This window comes from Homo sapiens, chromosome 17, assembly GCF_000001405.40.
Source record: "Homo sapiens chromosome 17, GRCh38.p14 Primary Assembly".
NCBI lineage: Eukaryota > Metazoa > Chordata > Mammalia > Primates > Hominidae > Homo > Homo sapiens.
The window spans coordinates 83125986-83146102 of record NC_000017.11 but is presented as its reverse complement, the minus strand read 5'-3'; the positions used below and the strand labels follow the sequence as shown (position 1 = coordinate 83146102).

The 20117-nt window shown below is 51.6% G+C and overlaps 1 long non-coding RNA gene across 1 annotated transcript in view, besides 1 other annotated feature; it reads right to left on the bottom strand.

The window, feature by feature from the left end:
- The window catches only part of LOC101929650 (uncharacterized), a 71977-nt gene extending 69312 nt beyond the window's left edge, over window positions 1-2665 (bottom strand). Inside the window, exons 1-2 of the long non-coding RNA XR_243528.4 lie at window positions 1901-2665; window positions 844-1293 (exon numbers count right to left, since the gene is read on the bottom strand). This is a non-coding gene — a long non-coding RNA (uncharacterized LOC101929650). The remainder of the gene's footprint in view (window positions 1-843; window positions 1294-1900) is intronic.
- Window positions 11826-12773: an enhancer, noted in NCBI's record as "H3K4me1 hESC enhancer chr17:81081099-81082046 (GRCh37/hg19 assembly coordinates)". NCBI's record gives its function as "activates a minimal SCP1, AML or CMV promoter by ChIP-STARR-seq in naive H9 embryonic stem cells {active_cell/tissue: H9 hESC(naive)}" and the evidence as "EXISTENCE:reporter gene assay evidence [ECO:0000049][PMID:30033119]".

The following is a 20117-nucleotide window of genomic DNA, read 5'->3' as shown; positions in this document are numbered from 1 at the left end:
ACAGGTCAGAATCCTGTGTCTGGGGCCAAAATGTCCCCACTCTCAAGCAATGCTAGAGACACGAGCCAGATTCGGTCTCCCTGGGCTCCGCTTTTATAAGATGCAATGCGGGCCACTCAGCCGCGAAACATCTTCTCTTCAGACAGAGCACAGTGAAGTTACTGAGATAAGCACTTCCATATCAGCCTGTATGAGGCAAGTCACCCCACAGTCTGGAGGTTCAAAGACAATCACCAAGGCTGTTTCTTCAGATGGCTTATGTCTTATATTTGGATTTGGATTTATTCCTTAAATCCATTTTTAAGGTCACTTTTGGGCCACTGTGTACAACATCCATGAGGTGGCTTGTCCCCTCCTCCCCCTAGGTGGACCCAGCCTGAGGCTGGCCAGAGTGTCCCCCTCGAATGCCCCCCACAGGGCCCAGCCTTCCTCCACATGGAGTTCCTCCAGCAGGTACGCCAGTGGCATAAAGCAAAGAGCTGAGTGACAGCTCAGACACAAAGGCTGCTCCCCACATCTCTCAGGGCCTTTGTTCCCAATCTCCCTGTCAGGTCCAGTGAACCTTGAGACACAGCACCTGGCACAGTGTCCAGGGCCTCCCCCAGTCCCCCGAATGCACATAAAGGATTCTAGGACCTGTTGAGAGTTAGCAATAACTCAGCCTTTACACGTAACAGGAGTGATAATAGAGGGCTTCTGTGGTGAATCGGGGGGGCAGAAGCTTAGGCTTTTCCTAAACCAAGCAAATGGCTAAGAGAGCAAATTCCAGAGTAGGCGTAACTTTGACTGGTGGAGCAGTGGGCGGTGTATTTCTGATGGATAACAGCCCACAGCATCACTTACCCAGTGCAACTGCAGAGGAAGGGCTGGTTCTACATCTCCTGGGACCACCGCGTGCTGGAGCAGAGGCTGCAGGGTGGAGCCCAGAGTTCCTCTGTGTCCCTGTATAAGATGCGTGAGCACCGCAGGCAGCATCCCTGGGGACTAGGCTTGGCATGGGCTGCTCCTCTGGTCACTGAGCCCCACAAAGGCTGCAGGCAGCACAGCCCTGGCATCCGTCCACTCTCCTAAATGACTGCAGCCTTGCCTCCTGGGTGTCTTTGCTTCTCAGTTTTATGTCACTGGAGGTAGCCAGTCAAGGATGGTTAGGCATGGCCTGTGTCAGACTTTGCAGATTATGCCTCCTCCGTGCTCACAGAAGCTGGGTGTGGACGGGGCAGAGCCTCCAGCAGTGTTTGCTGATAGCCAAAGTCAGAAACACCAGAGTCGCCAGCTGAAGTTCCCAGGCCTCTTCTAATCAAGGAAGAGAGAGACTATAACCCAAAGTGTCTGGGAGTGTGGATGGTGCCTGCCCTCCACAGCCTGACTCACTCAGCCCTCTGGCCCCCACAGAGTTCTGAGATCCACCAAGAGCCTCATAGCTGCCCAGGGCCAGGAGTGGCTTTTCCTGGCCTCCTGGCAGGAGGCTGCAGACTGTTCCTGAACCACTCTGCCGCGAAGGGAGCGGAGCAGAGGCTGTAAGGTGGGGCCCAGGGGCACGTTTCCAAGGTGCCCCGCTGCCTTCCTGCTGAGCTGTTTCTGGCAGAGAGGGTGTTACAGAGCAAGAGAGGACACAGCTGCACTTCATAAGCCCAGCAAGCACCATCACCAGCTCCTTGAGTATCACGTGCAGGGGTTTGGAAACAGGAGTAAGCTCTTCTTCTTTTAATTAAAAACAGAGACGAAAACTTTTTAAATACATACAACACACACTTAGGACCTGTTAAGATGAGGAATAAGGAAAAGGAAAAAAGAAAAGATTAAGTGGAGAGAGAAAGAGAGAAAATAGGCAGGGTGGGGAAAGGGAGACTGAAGAAAGAATGAGAGATTTCTAAAAACACAGAGAAATTGGGAGGCGCACCTGCTTTCGAGTAAGTGTGAACAAGCGAGTCTTCTCAGCTCTCCGTGATGCCCGGCTTCCCCATCATCTGAAAGGTTTACACCAGCAGATGGTCACATATCCTTAGCAGACACCCCAGTTCCCCAGATTATCTGAGCTGTGGCCAAATTCAAATCCAACTAGCTTTTATCAAGCACCTCATATGCAAAGTTTTTAAAAGATAATTCTGCCTAGGCCAGCCCCTCACAGATTCTGTGTGAGGACGTCTAGGGTGGGAGGAGACAGCATTCTTAGGAGTTCCAAAGTGGACTGTGACGTGCACAGACTGAGGACTGCCTGGCAGTAAACTCACATGTGCCGTCCGTTTACGAGACCCAAAGCTGCTCTGTGAGGCAGGTGCCCTTATGCAGATGGGAAAACTGTTCCTCAGATTAGAAGACATCACATTGTAGACCAGACAAATCCAAGGTCTACAGCAGATATGCTCAACTCCGGGGTGGAGCCACACGTGACCTTTAGGGGTATCTAACCCATCAGAATTCAATGGGAAATTGTGGTTTTCTGAGAAGGGAATCTGGGGCTTTTTCTTTTAATTTTCTTTTTAAAATTTCCCTTTATATGCACATGTATGTAAGCTTCGGGAACTGTGTATACATCATTATATCATGATACTGTTCAGGATTTTAGTGACGTCCATTTTGCTTCCTCTTCCATTTTTGCTTCCCGATCCAACTTTCCCTCCACCATGCCAACCCCAACCCCTTCCAGGTCACCTGGGCTAACAACCAATTGTATGCCCTTCCATGCTCGTCTTCATGTTTATATAAACCACGTACAAATACATAGTGGCTTGCCTAGAGAGCGAACAGAGAGGCCTTCCATCACTGTAGGGGACAGTATCATATCACTGACATGTTTAGAATGTATGCTGATGACAAAAAGCAGGCCAACTTCTAGCCATTTTTACTATCGTTTTTAAACACTTTACAATTTATCCAATTATGGTCAACACCTGGGAGAGACTGACCCACCTTCCCCCTTGGCGTGCCACTCAAATATAAACACACACACACACACACAAAGATAGACAAATATATTAGATTTTGTCATCCTATTTTTGTAAAACTATTTTTTACCCCTTCTGTGTCAACTGACATAGTCCTAACTCATGCTTTTTAATGGGAGCTTAATAGTACATATCTATGTCGTGGATGTACTATTATTTTTCAACCATTCTCCCATTGGTAGGATTTATATTGCTTGCAGTTTTTATTTTGTTTTCATTCTTGAATAATATTTTCTCCTGATACAGAACACCGGGTTGACAGTTTTTTGTTTTGTTCTCCCAGCACTTTAAACATAGCATTCCACTGTTTTCTGGCCGCCATTGTCTCTGAGGAGAAGTTAGTGGTTGTTCTATCATTGTCCCCTGGCTGCTTTCAAAATTTTCTCTTTACATTTTGTTTTCGGCAGTTTGACTATGATGAAGCTAGGTGTGATTTTATTTTTTAATTGACAAATAATAATAGTGTATATTTATGGGGTCAATGTAATGTTTTGGTACATGTATACATTGTGGAATGATCAAATCACACTAAATAGTATAGTCATCACCTCAAATATTTATCATTTCTTTGTGTTGAGAACATTTAAAATCCTCCCTTTTACTATTTGCAAATGTATAATACATGATTGTCAACTCTGGCCACCATGCCGTACAACAGAACACCAGAACACACTCCTGCTAACTGCAACTTTGCACCATTGACAAGTATCTCCCCTTCCTCATCCACATTCTCCTCATACCCAGCCCCACCCAGCCTCTGGTAACCACCAGTCTACTCTCTACTTCTATGAGTTTGACTTTTTAAAAATTCCACATATAAGTAAGATCATACAGTATTTTCTCTCTCCATACCTGGCTTATTTCACTTAACTTAATGTCCTCCAGATGTATTCATGTTATTACAAGTGACAGAATTTCCTGTTTTTTAAGGCTAAATAGTATTCCATTGTGTATGTATACCACATTTTAAAAATCCGTTCACCTGTTGATGGACACTTCGGTTGTTTCCATATCTTGGCTATTGTGAATAACATGGCAATGAACATGGGAACGCAGATGCCTCTTCCACAAATGATTTCAATTCCTTTGGGTGTATACCTAGTAGCAGAGTTGCTGAATCAAATAAGTCTAGTTTTAGTTTTTTTTACTAACCTCCATACTGTTTTCCAAAATGGCTATACTAATTTACAATACCACCAACAGTGTACCAGGGTTCCCTTTTCTTCACATCTTAGCCAACACTTATCTTTTATCTTGTTTATCATAGCCAATCTAACAGGTATGAGGAGATATCTCACTGTGGTTTTAACTTGCATTTCTCTAATGATTAGAAATGTTGAGCATTTTTTCATGTATCTGTTGGCCATTTGTATGTCTTCTTTTGAGAAATGTCTATTGAAGTCCCTTGCTTTTAATAGGGTTTTTATTTTTGTTATTAAGTAATTTGAGTTCTTTATATATTTTGAAAAGTAGCCCCTTATGCAATATACAATTTGCAAATATTTTTTCTCAGTCTGTGGGTTGCAGCTTCACTCTATTAATTGTTTTCTTTGTGGTGAAGATGCTTTTTAGTTTCATGTAATTCCATTTGTCTGTTTTTGCTTTCATTGCCTGAGCCTTTGGGGTCATATCCAATAAATCACTGCCCTTATAATGTCATGGAGCCTTTTCCCTATATTTTCTTCTAGTAGTTTGATAGTTTCAGGTCTTCCAGTTACATCTTTAATCCATTTTGTGTTGATTCTGGTAAAGATGTGAGATACGGGTTCACTCTCATTCTTCTATACATGGATACAGTTTTCTCAACACCATTTATTGAACAGACTGCCTTTCCCCATTGGGTGTTCTTGGCATCTTTGTTGAAAGAAAGCTATTTCTTTGTTTGTTGGACTGTTTTGTTTTTAAGCTATTGGTTTTTATACAGCTATTTTGTATCCAGCCACCTAACCAAATTCTTCATTAATTTTAGCAGTTTGTTATTAGTATCTCTTGGGTTTTCCAGATATACATTCATGTCATCAGCACAAAAGAGGTAGTTTTATGTTTCCTTTTCCAATTGTATACCACACATTTCGTTTTGTTTTCTTATGTTGCATTTTCTATAATCTCCAACACAATGTTAAATAATAGTAATTAAGGCATCCCTGTCTAGCTCCTAAATTTAACTGAAAGGGGGTTTGTTGGTTGGTTTTTGTTACATTTAAGTAGTCTCGTTCTGTTCCCATTTTACTTAGAGTTTTTTTTTTTTCTAATTAGGAATGGCTGTTAAGTTGTATTATGTGTCTTTTCAACATATATTGATATGATGATTTAAGTCTTTACAAATTATTGATGTGACGCTTTTGTTGATAATCCATTATTGAACCACCCTAACCCATTCCCAGAATAAACCTAACTTGATCAGAGTACACGTGATCGGCAGCTTCTGAAGTGGCTCCTAATGATCCCACCTCCTGGTATTCACTCCCTTTTGTTCTCTCCCCTTGTGCGTGGGCTGAGCCTAGTGACTTGCTTCTAACAAATAGATTATAACAAAAGTGATGAATGTCACTTCTGAGATTAGGTTATAAAAGACTGAGACTTCCATCCTAGACTCTCTCCTGCTTACAGGTACACACTCTCAGTCTCAGCCTCTTCCGCCCTTTCATGTTGATGAAGCCTGCTGCTGTGCTGTGAGCCACCCTCAGGAGAGCCTCCAGCAAACAGCCAGCGAGGGCCCGCGGCCCTCAGGCGAAGCCTCCAGCAAACAGCCAGCCAGGACCCACGGCCCTCAGGAGAACAGCCAGCCAGGACCCGCGGCCCTCAGGAGAACAGCCAGCCAGGACCCGCGGCCCTCAGGAGAACAGCCAGCCAGGACCCGTGGCCCTCAGGAGAACAGCCAGTGAGGACCCGCGGCCCTCAGGAGAAGCCTCCAGCAAACAGCCAGCCAGGACCCACGGCCCTCAGGAGAACAGCCAGCCAGGACCCGTGGCCCTCAGGAGAACAGCCAGTGAGGACCCGCGGCCCTCAGGAGAAGCCTCCAGCAAACAGCCAGTCAGGACCCGCGGCCCTCAGGCGAACAGCCAGCCAGGACCCGCGGCCCTCAGGCGAAGCCTCCAGCAAACAGCCAGCCAGGACCCACGGCCCTCAGGCAGCCAGCCAGGACCCGCGGCCCTCAGGAGAACAGCCAGCCAGGACCCGCGGCCCTCAGGAGAACAGCCAGCCAGGACCCGCGGCCCTCAGGAGAACAGCCAGCCAGGACCCGCGGCCCTCAGGAGAACAGCCAGCCAGGACCCGCGGCCCTCAGGAGAACAGCCAGCCAGGACCCGCGGCCCTCAGGAGAACAGCCAGTGAGGACCCGCGGCCCTCAGGAGAAGCCTCCAGCAAACAGCCAGTCGGGACCCGCGGCCCTCAGGAGAACAGCCTTGGGGAACCCCAACAACCCCTGCCAAGCCACTGAGCGAGCTCGTAAGCAACTTCTGCCCCAGTTGAGCCTTGAGATGACTGCAGTCTCAGCTGATTCCTGACAGCCTTGAGGGAGACCCTACACTGCAGAGCTCATGCCACGATTCCTGACCCACAGATACCAGGAGATAACCATCTACTGTTTAACCCACTAAGGTTTAGGGCAATTTGTCACACAACAAACATGAATACAGTGTATTCTATTTTTGATACAGGACTGAATTTTATTTTCGAATATCTCATTTGGAAGCAATGCATCTGTATTCATAAAATAAAGTGGGGTATAGAAATGCTCTAGATTGTCTGCAGCAGACTTTCATATTGAACTAATTAATAAGCTCATAAAATTAAGTTAGAAAAACTTGAATAACAATGGACTTAAAATTCAGCTGAGGCCAGGCATCGTGGCTCATACCTGTAACCTCAGCACTTTGGGAGGCCAAAGTGGGAAGACTGTTTGAGCCCAGGAATTCAAGACCACCCTGGGCCATATAGTGAGACCCTGTCTCTATAAAATAAAAAAATTAAAAATTTTAATGTAATTAAAACAAAATTAAAAATTAAAAAAATCAGCTGAGAAGACATCTAATCTTGATGTAATTTCTTCACAGCTCATAAGCCTGCATAGGCTGGGTGGGTGTGTTGAAGTCCTGAGGAGCAGGGTGGGGTCTACATCTGCAAACTGCTGTAAATTTCCCACCCAGTCCACGGCTGCCATTCTGGGTTCCAGCCCAGAGCTTTGAGCAGCCCCTCTCTATCTGAGTCTTCTGAAAACTTGGGATTCAAGGACCACGGTCATGAGGTGAGGTAGAGAGTGCCATCCTGGAAGAACAGAATAGAGCTTGTTAGAACCTGCTGCTGAAACTCAGACGAGCCACTTTATTCCAGACTTCAGTTTCCTCGTGTTCAAAAGGAAAAGGTTGGGTTTCTAAGATCCTGTCGTGCCTTAAGAGTCCCTGAATCTTCAAGATAATTAAACAGAAAACAAGGGCCTCAAGGGGTGATATAATTGGCGTTTTTGTCCCTGCCCAAATCTCATGTTGAATTGTAATCCCCAGTATTGAAGGCAGGGTCTGGTGGAGGCGACTGGATCATGGGGGTGGATTTCTCATGAATGGTTTAGCAGCACCTTGTGCTGTCCTCAAGAGGCTGAGTTCTCAGAGACCTGGCTGTTTTATGTGGCTAGCACCTCCTGCTCTCTCTTTCTCCTCCTTCACCTTCTGCCCAGACTGTAAGCTTCTGGAGGCCTCCCCGGAAGCTGTACAGTTGCTGGCACCATGGTGCCTATAAAGCCTGCAGAACCGTGAGCCAATTAAACCTCTTTTCTTTATAAATTACCCAGCCTCAAGTATTTCTTTAAAGCAAGGCAAGAATGACCTGAGACAAGGGTGGAACTATTGTTACCTATGCTGACGTCTACTTGTCTATATAGTTTCCAGCGATTGACCCTTCAATATTGAAATTTAAGGCTGCCCAGTTCACCATCAGGGTGATAATGGCCAGACACCGAAAGGTTCACAATTGTTACCTATGCTGACGTCTACTTGTCTATATAGTTTCCAGTGATTGACCCTTCAATATTGAAATTTAAGGCTGCCCAGTTCACCATCAGGGTGATAATGGCCAGACACCGAAAGGTTCACATCCCAGTTCAGAGGCTGTGGCAGGAGACAGAGCTGGAACCTTTCACAGAGTCGTCCCCACGACAAGGTGTTCATCATGGCGATAGGAGTTCTTAGCAAGATCTCAGCAGAGTCACCAGGTGCATTTCCTGAAGGTGGAAGCAAAATCCCAGGACTAGGAACCCCCAAAAATGAACACAGTCTTTTTACAGGATGATCAGAGGCAAATGTCTGTGATAAGGACTTGTCCTGGCTGCACTGAGGTGCTCATCCTTGCCAATGCCTGTCCAGGAAGCGTCTCTACAATGAGATGCACTAACAGGAGACGCTGGGGTCAGGCTCCAACGGACACATCCGGCTGCCCCAGCACCGTGCATGTGGCTGGTGCCCGACAAGCATGAGTGGGTGGATGGACGGGCATGGTCTCCCTGCATCTCTCTGAGTGGGCACAACCCAGTTGTTCCTCAGTCTTTGGAATCTGGGACAGAAAGCTGTATCCTTCCTTCCCCCACTCCGAGAGTAGGCATCTTAGTTCCCAGGACACCCACAATCCCCAGAAACCCCTCGAAGAGCCCCGGGGGTCCTTACACATCCTTCAGCGCTCAGGGCCTTCGGTTCTTTATGTGTTTACTTATTTTTCTTTCAATGGTTTTAGCTTTTTTTTATTATTAAAACAGTGAACTGGCATGAGGCGCAACGTTAAGAGAACATTTGTTCTGAGAAGAGGTTGAAGTCCTTTTCCTCCACCCCCTGACTGAAAGAAACAGACCATCTCCCTCCTTGTGACACCTGCCCCCGTAACAAGCCACCCACCGCGTCCCAAGATGAAGAGGTCACACTAAAGTTGGCCTGAAAAGGAAGGCTAAGCACCTTTTTGAAAAGTAACTGAACTGGAAAGTTCAGAAGAGGCCAAGGCCACAATTTGCCACCCTTTCCCCCACGCATGGCAGCGTCAGCCCAGCCCACAGCCCCGGAGCCCCGGTCTCCACACGTGACCATGCTACACGAAAACCCAGATCAGGACCCGGTCTTGGGAGCCCGGTCGCGCCGCCCCTGCCCATCAGGGATCTTTCACTTTAGTGCTGGGGCGTCCTCTGCCTGGTCTCTTCCCCTTTCGCTTTCCTGCTTGTTTTTCCTTCATAATCCATTCAGTCCCTCAGGACCTTCCCCCGGGTATTAATGAAGCGTGTGTTGATGGGGTGACCTGTTCCACCGGGGAAGAGCTGGAATACAGGGGAGTCACTAAGACGAAATTGTACTCTGCAAGGTTACGAGGAGGGCTCTGCAGCCTGAGACAGCTGAGTCGCAAGCACTCCTGAGCTTCAGTTGCTGCCTCTAGAAATCAGGGGCAGTCACAGTTCTCACCTATACAGTGATTCTCATCTGTGTGGTTTTTGGTACAGCAGCAGCCGTACTCACTGCACCAAGCACTCAGTAGTCAACAAGCGTGTAAATTAGGAGGCTTTTGTTTATAATTTATTATCAATAAGTTATGAAGTTAAATTTTATGGTGACCAGGGATCTTGATGGGGCCTGTGGACGATCTCTCGGGAGCAGAGAGCTGGTGTGCTTGCTGCAGCCCCCAGCTCTGAGACCCCCGGCCTTGCCAGAGCAGCTGGCGGGGATGAGTCATCCCTGGGTGCGTTTGAATGGACCTGCATACCCTACTTGGGCAACCCAGTCTCCTCCTCACCTGTGGCCAGTGACGCCGGCTCTTCCTCCCCTCGGGTGCAGGAGGCCTGGAGGTGACACCGGCTCTTCCCTCCTCTCGGGCGCAGGAGGCCTGGAGGTGACGCCGGCTCTTCCCTCCCATGTCTCTGCCCTGCTGGTCACAGCTCCTCCCTGGCAGAATCCAGTCACAGTTCTCTTGTGCAGGAATAGTTTCACTGTTTTTAAAAATTGCACTTTCATCTATCACAGGAATGAGAAAAACCTCTTTCTGCAGTTCTTGGATGTGCAGAGAGCAACACACACGTTTAATCACCAAGAAACCCCGTGGGTCTAATAACAGTAGATTGAAGGGTGCAGGCCAGGGTGAGGGCAGGTGGGTCTAATGACAGTAGATTGAACTGCCAGGGTGGGGGCAGGTGAAGCTGATCTGCAGACAGACATGCAGGGAGGGATCCTGCGTCCTCTCCCAGAGCCCTGCCCCGCGGCCCGGCATGGGAGGGCTTCCACCACCACGGATGCTCCATGCCCAACACATGTCTGCATGACCATCCCTCACTGCCAGGTTGTCACACCCATGTGGAGGCCAGTAACCCACCCGCCCTCAGCCCTAGGGGTGAGTCAGTGACCCCCCAGCATCCAGCAGCCCACCTGACACGGATGCTCACACAGCCGCCCTGAGCGTCGCCCGGCACACAGCACTCTGACACGGATGCCCACACGGCCGCCCTGAGCGTTGCCCGGCACACAGCACTCTGACACGGATGCCCACACGGCCGCCCTGAGAGTCGCCCGGCACACAGCACTCTGACACGGATGCCCGCACGGCTGCCCTGACTGTCGCCCGGCACACAGCACTCTGACACGGATGCCCGCACGGCTGCCCTGAGAGTCGCCCGGCACACAGAACGCTGACACGGATGCCCACACGGCCGCCCTGAGAGTCGCCCGGCACACAGCACTCTGACACGGATGCCCAGACGGCCGCCCTGAGCGTCGCCCGGCACACAGCACTCTGACACAGATGCCCGCACAGCCGCCCTGAGCATCGCCCGGCACACAGCACTCTGACACGGATGCCCGCACGGCTGCCCTGACTGTCGCCCGGCACACAGCACTCTGACATGGATGCCTGCACGGCCGCCCTGAGCGTCGCCCGGCACACAGCACTCTGACATGGATGCCCGCACGGCCGCCCTGAGCTCCGCCCGGCACACAGCACTCTGACACGGATGCCCGCACGGTTGCCCTGAGCGTCGCCCGGCACACAGCACTCTGACACGGATGCCCGCACAGCCGCCCTGAGCATCGCCCGGCACACAGCACTCTGACATGGATGCCCGCAGGGCCGCCCTGAGCTTCGTCCGGCACACAGCACTCTGACACGGATGCCCGCACAGCCGCCCTGAGCATCGCCCGGCACACAGCACTCTGACACGGATGCCCGCAGGGCCGCCCTGAGCTTCGTCCGGCACACAGCACTCTGACACGGATGCCCGCAGGGCCGCCCTGAGCGTCGCCCGGCACACAGCACTCTGACACGGATGCCCGCACGGTTGCCCTGAGCGTCGCCCGGCACACAGCACTCTGACACGGATGCCCGCACGGCTGCCCTGACTGTCGCCCGGCACACAGCACTCTGACACGGATGCCTGCACGGTTGCCCTGAGCGTCGCCCGGCACACAGCACTCTGACATGGATGCCCGCACGGCCGCCCTGAGCATCGCCTGGCACACAGAACGCTAACACGGATGCCCAGACGGCCGCCCTGAGCGTCGCCCGGCACACAGCACTCTGACACAGATGCCCGCACAGCCGCCCTGAGCGTCGCCCGGCACACAGCACTCTGACACGGATGCCCGCAGGGCCGCCCTGAGCTTCGTCCGGCACACAGCACTCTGACACAGATGCCCGCAGGGCCGCCCTGAGCTCCGCCCGGCACACAGCACTCTGACATGGATGCCCGCACGGCCGCCCTGAGCGTCGCCCGGCACACAGCACTCTGACACGGATGCCCGCACGGCTGCCCTGACTGTCGCCCGGCACACAGCACTCTGACATGGATGCCCGCACGGCCGCCCTGAGCATCGCCCGGCACACAGCACTCTGACATGGATGCCCGCAGGGCCGCCCTGAGCTCCGCCCGGCACACAGCACTCTGACATGGATGCCCGCACGGCCGCCCTGAGCATCGCCCGGCACACAGCACTCTGACACGGATGCCCGCAGGGCCGCCCTGAGCGTCGCCCGGCACACAGCACTCTGACACGGATGCCCAGACGACCACCCTGAGCGTCACCCGGCACCCAGCACACAGCACTCTGCGGCGTTTCTTGTCTGCTGGTTGCTGTTGTCTCTGCCCAGATAGAACACGCATCCCTGGAGCACTGGGACGTTGCCTGTCTGCTCACTGGCAGCTCATGCAGCCCCCAGCAGGTGCCCAATGCTCTCGAGTGAGTGACAGGAAGCTGGGCACTGGCCTTCTGTCTTCAGGAGAGATGCTTCTGAATTGCTGCTCCATCTTTCTATGTTGGCTCAGACACACTTGCTGAAGTGTGTCTGAGTGAAGTGAAGGAAAATGACAAACAGAGCTCCCGCCACTGCCCAGGACTTGTCCCCGTGCCCCAGGGTGTATTCTGAGCTCCAGCCTCTCAGGCTCACGTGTTGGTTGACACAAGTGGACATGGTCACCCCAGGCAGCCAGCGGCCTGGGGCTCCACGGAAGGCCCATGAAGCMCAGGTCAGAAGAGAACGGAGTCTTAAGTCACCTCAGAGGAGGCAGGAGAAGGTGATTTGCAGAATGAGCTCCATGTAGTTCCACAGGGATGAGGCATCAAAGGTCTCCTAATCCCCAGACAAATTTCTCCCATTTGTCTGGCTCTGACTCAGATGTCCTTAGGGGACAGGGCACCCAGCAAGCATCGTTCACCAGGAAAAGCGCATCCTTGTTCATTTCATGTGTAGCTGCAGCTGCCCTCCAATTCCCCCTTTAATTCCCTGACGCTTTAATCAGGCAAGTCACAGAGTGGGACRTGGGGGTGCAGGATGGGGGCTGGGAGTGAATGGGCTCCAGGGAGCTTCCTGCCTGCGGCCAGAGCCACACCGGGCAGATCCCTCCCCTGCCCCAGACAAACTGCATCGCAGACGAGACCTTCGAGTTCTTACAGTTTTAGGGTTCCTTTATCTTGAAGGAATTTGTTGTCACTCTGTGCCATGCGGCATGGTGCTTTTAATATGACTGGGATGGAACTCCCTAACGAGATACAGCTAAGACAAACCGCTGTCTTACTCACAAAGCCGTTGCAATACAGCTTGTGCCCGAGCCTCCATCACGGCTACCTGGCATCTGCGCGTGACGCTGCAGCTTTGGAGCAACCCACAGGCGTGGAGAGGAGCCACGCGTGGAGATCCAYGGCATGGTGGGCTGTGCTTCTTCCGAGCCCACGGCTCTGCGGCCCACAGACTTCAGCTCATGCACCTCCTGGGTCTGCATGTGCAGTTGGTGAGCGTGGATGTGGGGCCCTGAGGAGTGGGTTGAGGAGGATGCCCCATTAACAAGTCGATTTACTCTCAATGACCCCAAATGGGTCCCGACCTTCAGTCCCCGGAGGCCCTTCCACAGCCCCTGGCCAAAGACCATGGGCAAACTTCAGACACCAGGGTAGATGGATTTGCCAGGCTGCACCGAGGGGAGCTGGGTGTCACGCACACAGTGCCAAGTCCAGCAGAGGGCATGGGCACGTTGCCTGTCCCCCACGTGTGGCTTCAGCACAGTTGACAGTTGACAGTTGGAGGTGTGTGTTCCTCTGCAGATCCTGGAGGCTCTCGTAAGTGCTGGCCTCGGCTTCACCGATATCAGTGGCTGGCTGGGGAACCTGGTGGGGCGGGGGTACTTCCTGATGTTCTAGGGTCTCCTGACAGAAAACAAATACCCCCAGGAAGGAAAAACACCCAAGCTATGAGTCACTAACATACCCAAGGGGTCAGCTGACCATGAGCTGGGAGAACAGGGGTGAGGAAAGAGACTCAGCAAAAGGTGCTTTGGGGAGAATGGCCAACCAATCTCACCTGCTTGGTAATTCTGCCCAGGTTGGGCCTCAGTGGGTGTAGGGTGTTGGGCACATAGGGATGTGGGGAGAATTGGGGCAGTGAGGAGTCAGGAAGGTCCCACAGAGACACCTCCAGTGCCAGACAACCCACAGCCACCTTTGATTGGCAGCAACACAGAAGTCAGACTCAGACAGAAGACCAGGTATTTAGAAGTTAAATAAAACTGGACATGCATGCAGCTTGTCCTGAGCTAAATAAATGTCTGCAATTCATAAAACAGTCTAAAAGCCATGAGGCCCCTCAGTCAGTTCCCCGTGTAGTCAGTCACCTGCGGTTCTGACCCCTGGAGACCCCGAGAAACAGAGCCCAGCCCTGGCTTCAAGGTGTTCTGGGCTCAGCTGGCAGATGAAGACATGCAGACACCTTATCTCAGTCCCACRGAAGCTGCATGAGGAGGCCAGTGGTCCTCAAGAGACAGCGACATCGACTCTGCCTGCAGGGTCAGGAGGGTCTCCGAGAGGACTGGCATGGAGCAGGTGCTGTGCGTCCACATGTGGGTGATGGGTGGGGAAATCCCAGCAAGGAGGGACAAACAGCACCCCAGATGTGCAAGTCCAGACAGCTGGCGGGGGTGTGGGAGAAGCAGAAGACAATGACCGCCTCGAACTTCCACCTCGAGTGAGAGAACCATCTAGTGAAGTTCCTTAACAGAAAACGGTTCCTTCCAGGGATAAGTATCAAGGCCTACTGGTACCATGCGGCGCCTCTGTGAGCCCCAGATAACTTGGTGCCTTTTTGGTTTGAGCTCACAGATAAGCAACAGGGATGCTGTGCCTTCTAGTCATTCCTGACGATGACCAATGAGAGGAAGAAGGAGCCCTGATGATAACACAGGGGCAGGAGGAGTGGGGCGCCTGATGGGACCCTGGGGTCTGAAGCTTGGTGCCACCCTACTTACTGTCTGTCAGGCCGCGGGCAAGATATTGCCTCTATCTCAGTGTTCCTGTCTGCAAAACAGGCACAAGGTATTAACTACTTCCTGGCACCTGCCTAGCCAGACTCACGGACAGAATAGAGTTCAGAAAAAAACCTAAATCCGTGTATGAGCTGCTAGCATGTGACAAAGGYGGCACCTCAAGTCAGTGGTGAAAAGACGAATTATTAGTAACGATATTCAAACACTAGGTGACCACCTTCAGTTACATGCACACCTCACCCCAGCCACCAGCAGGACCCTACAGGGCCACAGTGTGAATGCTAGGGAGCAAAACCACAAGAGCACAGAGAGCATGGGGCCCCCATGACCCAGCCTGGGGAAGCCCTTCCATACCCCGCCACAAAGCCCAGAAGCTGGAGAACAGATGAAAAGTTTTTRCCCGAAATATTTTTTTCATGGCCAAAACACCTACAACAAAACAAAGTTGAAAGACAAATGACACGGGGAAAACATACAAGCAATTCCTACCTCAGACGGAGAGCTAATCTTTATAGCCAAAGAAATCTAACAGATCAACAAACAAATTGTTCACAAAAAAATGAATAAAAATGACCCTTCATCATATAAGAGATGCTCARAGTGATTCATCAAAAGGTAAATTAAAGACTAAAACTACACTGAGATACCAGTTTTCATACATCTGCTCGGTGAAAGCCAAGCTTTCGACAACCTGCCGGAGGCCAGCCTCGCCTGCTGCTGGCGGGAGCACGGAACAGCACAAACTTCGATGGAGGAGAGTTCACTGCACTTAACAAAATTGCAAGCGCGTCTGGCTCTGACCCAGCAATTCTAAGAATTTACCAAATCAATGTAAAAATAATATTTTTAAAAGTATGTGTCTTCGGCCGGGCGCGGTGGCTCACGCCTGTAATCCCAGCACTTTGGGAGGCCGAGGCGGGTGGATCACGAGGTCAGGAGATGGAGACCATCCTGGCTAACACGGTGAAAACCCATCTCTACTAAAAATACAAAAAAAATAGCCGGGCGTGGTGGCGTGAGCCTGTAGTCCCAGCTACTCGGGAGGCTGAGGCAGGAGAATGGCGTGAACCCGGGAGGCGGAGCTTGCAGTGAGCCGAGATCGCGCCACCGCACTCCAGCCTGGGCTACAGAGTGAGACTGCATCTCAAAAAAAAAAAAAGTATGTGTCTTCAATGATACTTACATCCTAAATGCACATCAAGGAGAGGACCGGTCAAATGTCTCGGCAGATGCGTACAATAGAATACTATGAGGCGTGAAACAGAACACGAAGTTCTTTTTGTAGTCATATGAAAAGATCTCCAATAAATAATATTAAATTAAACATAAATACGCAACCCTCAAGTGTGGGCTGTGTAGACTGACTTCCTTCCCGAGAGTATGGAGAGGGAAGGAAAAGGATCACATCACCGTGGGGAGACCTGACCGACTCCCCTCAGCTGGGTGGCCGAGGCCAGTGTCCACAGCAAGCATCCGTGCTGGGTGTGTGAGTCCCTCACAGGATGGGGTGAGCAGGGCACTTCACCTCTGGGGTCATTGTCCCCAGGCCCCAAACCCCAGTCTTACCACGAGAAACACATCAGAACAATTCTAACAGAGACGCAGCTACCAAACACCCAACAGGCCTCCTCAAAACTGTCCCAGTCACCAAAAGCCAGTCTGAGAACTGCCCAGCCCCGAGAGGCCTACGGAGACGCGGGACAAAGTGTCATGTGGGACCCTGGATGGGTCCTGGGACAGAGAAAGGACATTTAGGGGAAACTAAAGACGTGAATAAACTTCAGACTTTAGCTAACAATCATGTGWCAACACTGGTTCATTGATTGTAACAAAGTATCATTCTAACATAAACTGTTAACAGTGCAAGAAACTGGACGTGGGTATGTGGGAACTCTCTCTACGATCCCCTCAATTTTCTGTAGACCTAACACTGCCCTAAAAATAAAGTCTATTATAAAAATGAAAGAAAATTTAAAAATTTTTAAGTAACAAGGAGAAAAGTGTATGTAACATCCTGCCGTTGGTGTAAAAGTCAGGGAATATGTATTTGTATTGAACTGTATGTGCTAAAGGACCTCTGGGAAGTCACCTAAGACACCAGTGACAATGGCTGCCTCTTCCAAGAGGCAGGACTGAGCAGACGGGAGAGGAGGTGGGAGGAGTGAAGATTTTTTAACACATTTTGAAGTTGGAAATTTGTAAACTCGTTATTTAAAATGCTTAAATAAGGGAGGAGCGGGGGCTCGCCTCATGGGACCTGTCGAGGTGAATAAAGCAATGATTGTGAGGCCTCCCAGTGACGGTGAACTCCACCTACGGGATCCGCACAGGAAACATCACCCTTCGTCCTGGCCTGACCCGGCCCCGGGCGTGGTGGAGACCAATGCTCACTCCCCCGTTGCTGCAAAACCTCGGTGGCTTTAAACAACAGCAACTTCATTTTCTCAGGAAGCTGCCTCTGGGCAGCACCCCTGGGCTTGCCTCCGCTCCACTCAGCGCTGGACAGTTRTCTGAAGCTTTAGCAAMCCCAGCCAGAGTCCATGCTCCTTTGAACACAGGTCCAAGAGCCCAGGGTCTGCGAAGCCCAGGTCAAGAAGCTCGGTGAGAGGTCTGAGAGGCAACAGGCGGGACCCACGGACACCAGCATGAATGTCCCGTTCCTCTCACTCTGTCTGGCGCTGGGATCCCGTAAACCTACAGCACATCCCACTGCAAATGTGAGGGCTCCACAGGAGACTCCTGAGTGGCACCGGGGAACGGTCAGCCCACAGGGCGTCAGGGGCCCTCCCCCAAATCCCTTCCCGGCTCCAGGATCTGCCCCTTTCTCACTTGGACTCCTCTTCCTAAGACAGGTCTTGCAAGGCTGATGGGGAATCAGAGAGAACGACCTGCTGGCCCAGCTCAGCGGTGTCGGGTGCTCTCCTGGGTGCCAGTTCCCAGATGCCCGGGTGTAGTCTGCAGAACCAGCTCCGTGTTATGCTTGAGAGTGACTGGTAGGTAGCAGGAATTCAACAAATACGAATCAAATGAACAAATGTTTCATAGCATTGTTCTGGAACCCCCTGGAAAGGGGCTCCAGGACCATGTGATCTCAAGGGTGCATTCTATGGGGGACACCCCTTTACGAGAAAAACTTGGGACTGTGACGTACCCCCTCCCAAACTGGGAAGGGTCAAAAGACCAAGAAATGACTCAGAAGGGTCCACGTTATCTGACGAGTCAATGTGTTGATCAGGATTTACCAAGGACACTGCTGCACAGTGGCAGGACAGCCCTGAGACCTGCGCCGCCTCCCGTCTCCAAACTATTTTAAGCTGATCTTCTGGCTTTGCCTCCTGTGTGTGTGTGATGGGGCTGTTTCCTCGGTGGGTTCTCAGAGCCTCTCCTCGATCTTTGGGTTCTCAGAGACACCAACTCCTGGCCTGGGCACCAGGGCCTTGGCTCACCACCTGGCTTTCAGGGCCCAGGCTGCGAACACAGGGCCTTAAGAACCTGGTGGGGGACCTGCCACCCTACAGATCCCACACCCCACCCTACAGATCCCGCACCCCACCCTACAGATCCCGCACCCCACCCTACAGATCCCACACCCACCCTACAGATCCCACACCCACCCTACAGATCCCACACCCCCCCTACAATCCCACACCCACCCTACAGATCCCACACCCACCCTACAATCCCACACCCACCCTACAGATCCCACACCCACCCTACAATTCCACACCCACCCTACAGATCCCACACCCCACCCTACAGATCCCGCACCCACCCTTCCAGCGTGGGGCTCTCGGAGAGGACGGCCTGAGCTCTTGCACTCAGCCCCTCGTGCTGTGGTGCCTGCCTTGCATTGAACCTCTCAGTGTCCTGTGGTCAGTGTCTGCCTGGGGTCGCGAGGACAGCTGTGGGCTGTGGTCTGAACATGCACAGGACCAAGGGCCACACACAGGGACATGGTCACGGCTGCTGCTGCTCAGGGAGACAGGCAGAGTCCAAAGCGTCTGTGCCCGGAGGGGCCATTGCCTGCCTCTGAGAGCAGCATCCTTCAGGCCGACTCTGTCGTCCCCAGGCACTTCCCATAAGTGACGATGTCTGCTATTGCTTGCTTTATTTTTTTTTTTATTGTTGGACAAAATTAAAAGTACATTTAAATCAGTCCTCAGCTATGGGGGGTTACTTAACCGGCCCATGAAGTCCAAAGCCAGCAAGCTTGTTTCTGGATTTACGGTTGAAGCTCGTGCCAAAGATGCCTCTGCGTTGGGAGGGGAATGTCCGTGTGCTACAAACCACACACACTTCAAACCCCCACAAAGCCCACACTGGGCTGCACGCATCAATGACGAGCCAGTATTTAACAAGGTGTCTGAATATCAGAAGGGTCTTCTCATTTATAACAGTAATGTAAATTTACAGACAGTTGTAAGAATTGCAAATTGTCCAAAACCTGCTTATCCTTCAAAAATGACAGTCTTCAGAATTCCATGAAAAAATAATGTCTCTTCCATAATAAACACAAATATTTGAAACACAGAAACAAACAGGTTGTTTCATAGAAACAGATGCCCAGGCGTCCACCAGACCAGAGGGCAGTGGTCACTCAGAGAAGAGCAGGGCCCTGGGAGAGCTGGCGACCGCCACGAGGCCAGAACTATGCATGTTCTTTATGAACTCCCAAAGGGTAGATTTTGCTGTGCTATGCCCTGGACTTAAGCCAGGATGACCCTCAACCTCCTAGGTAAATGACTAAACCCAAGCCCGCTGATGCAAGGTGGGTCCTGACCTCTGACCCAGACACTCCACCATCCTCTTTGAGCTCCTTGCGGTGACACACGTCCTCGGGGCCTGTCCAGACAGGGGTTGTGGCATCTGATGGCCATCAGCTTGTCTCAGAGACCAGGGGTCAGCCTCAGGTGCAAGCCCAGCTGAACAACAGAGGCCCTGAGCAGCCCCAGCCATTCCAGCCACGCCACTGTTCTTGTCCTCAGATTATTTTCTGTGCAAAGGGAAAGGGGCTGTTGCAAGAAGCAGACCCTCCCTGGTCACGGCACCCTACACTGCCCAAGGCTTCCCGGTCCTGACTGCCCCCSACAGTCGTGCGGCTGCCCCAATGGCCAGAGCTGCCTCTGCTGCCCCCAGCATTCAGTGGAGCAGGGGTGCAGGGTGAATGAATGGTAATCCGTTCAGAGAACCTGAGCAAACGCTGTGCAAGCTGCTGGCTTTGAAAGGAAGTTGTCATCACATGCAGGGAACCCTGTCTTACCAGCCGACAGGTGGATGACCTTCTCCCCTGGCAAATCCCCAGAGAAACAGACTCAGAGCTTCCCTCAGGAGTGACAGCCCCACAGGTTCCCTGCATGAAGGGACAGAAGGTCGGACCTTGCAGGTCACCAGGGGTCCCCTCTGCACCCAGG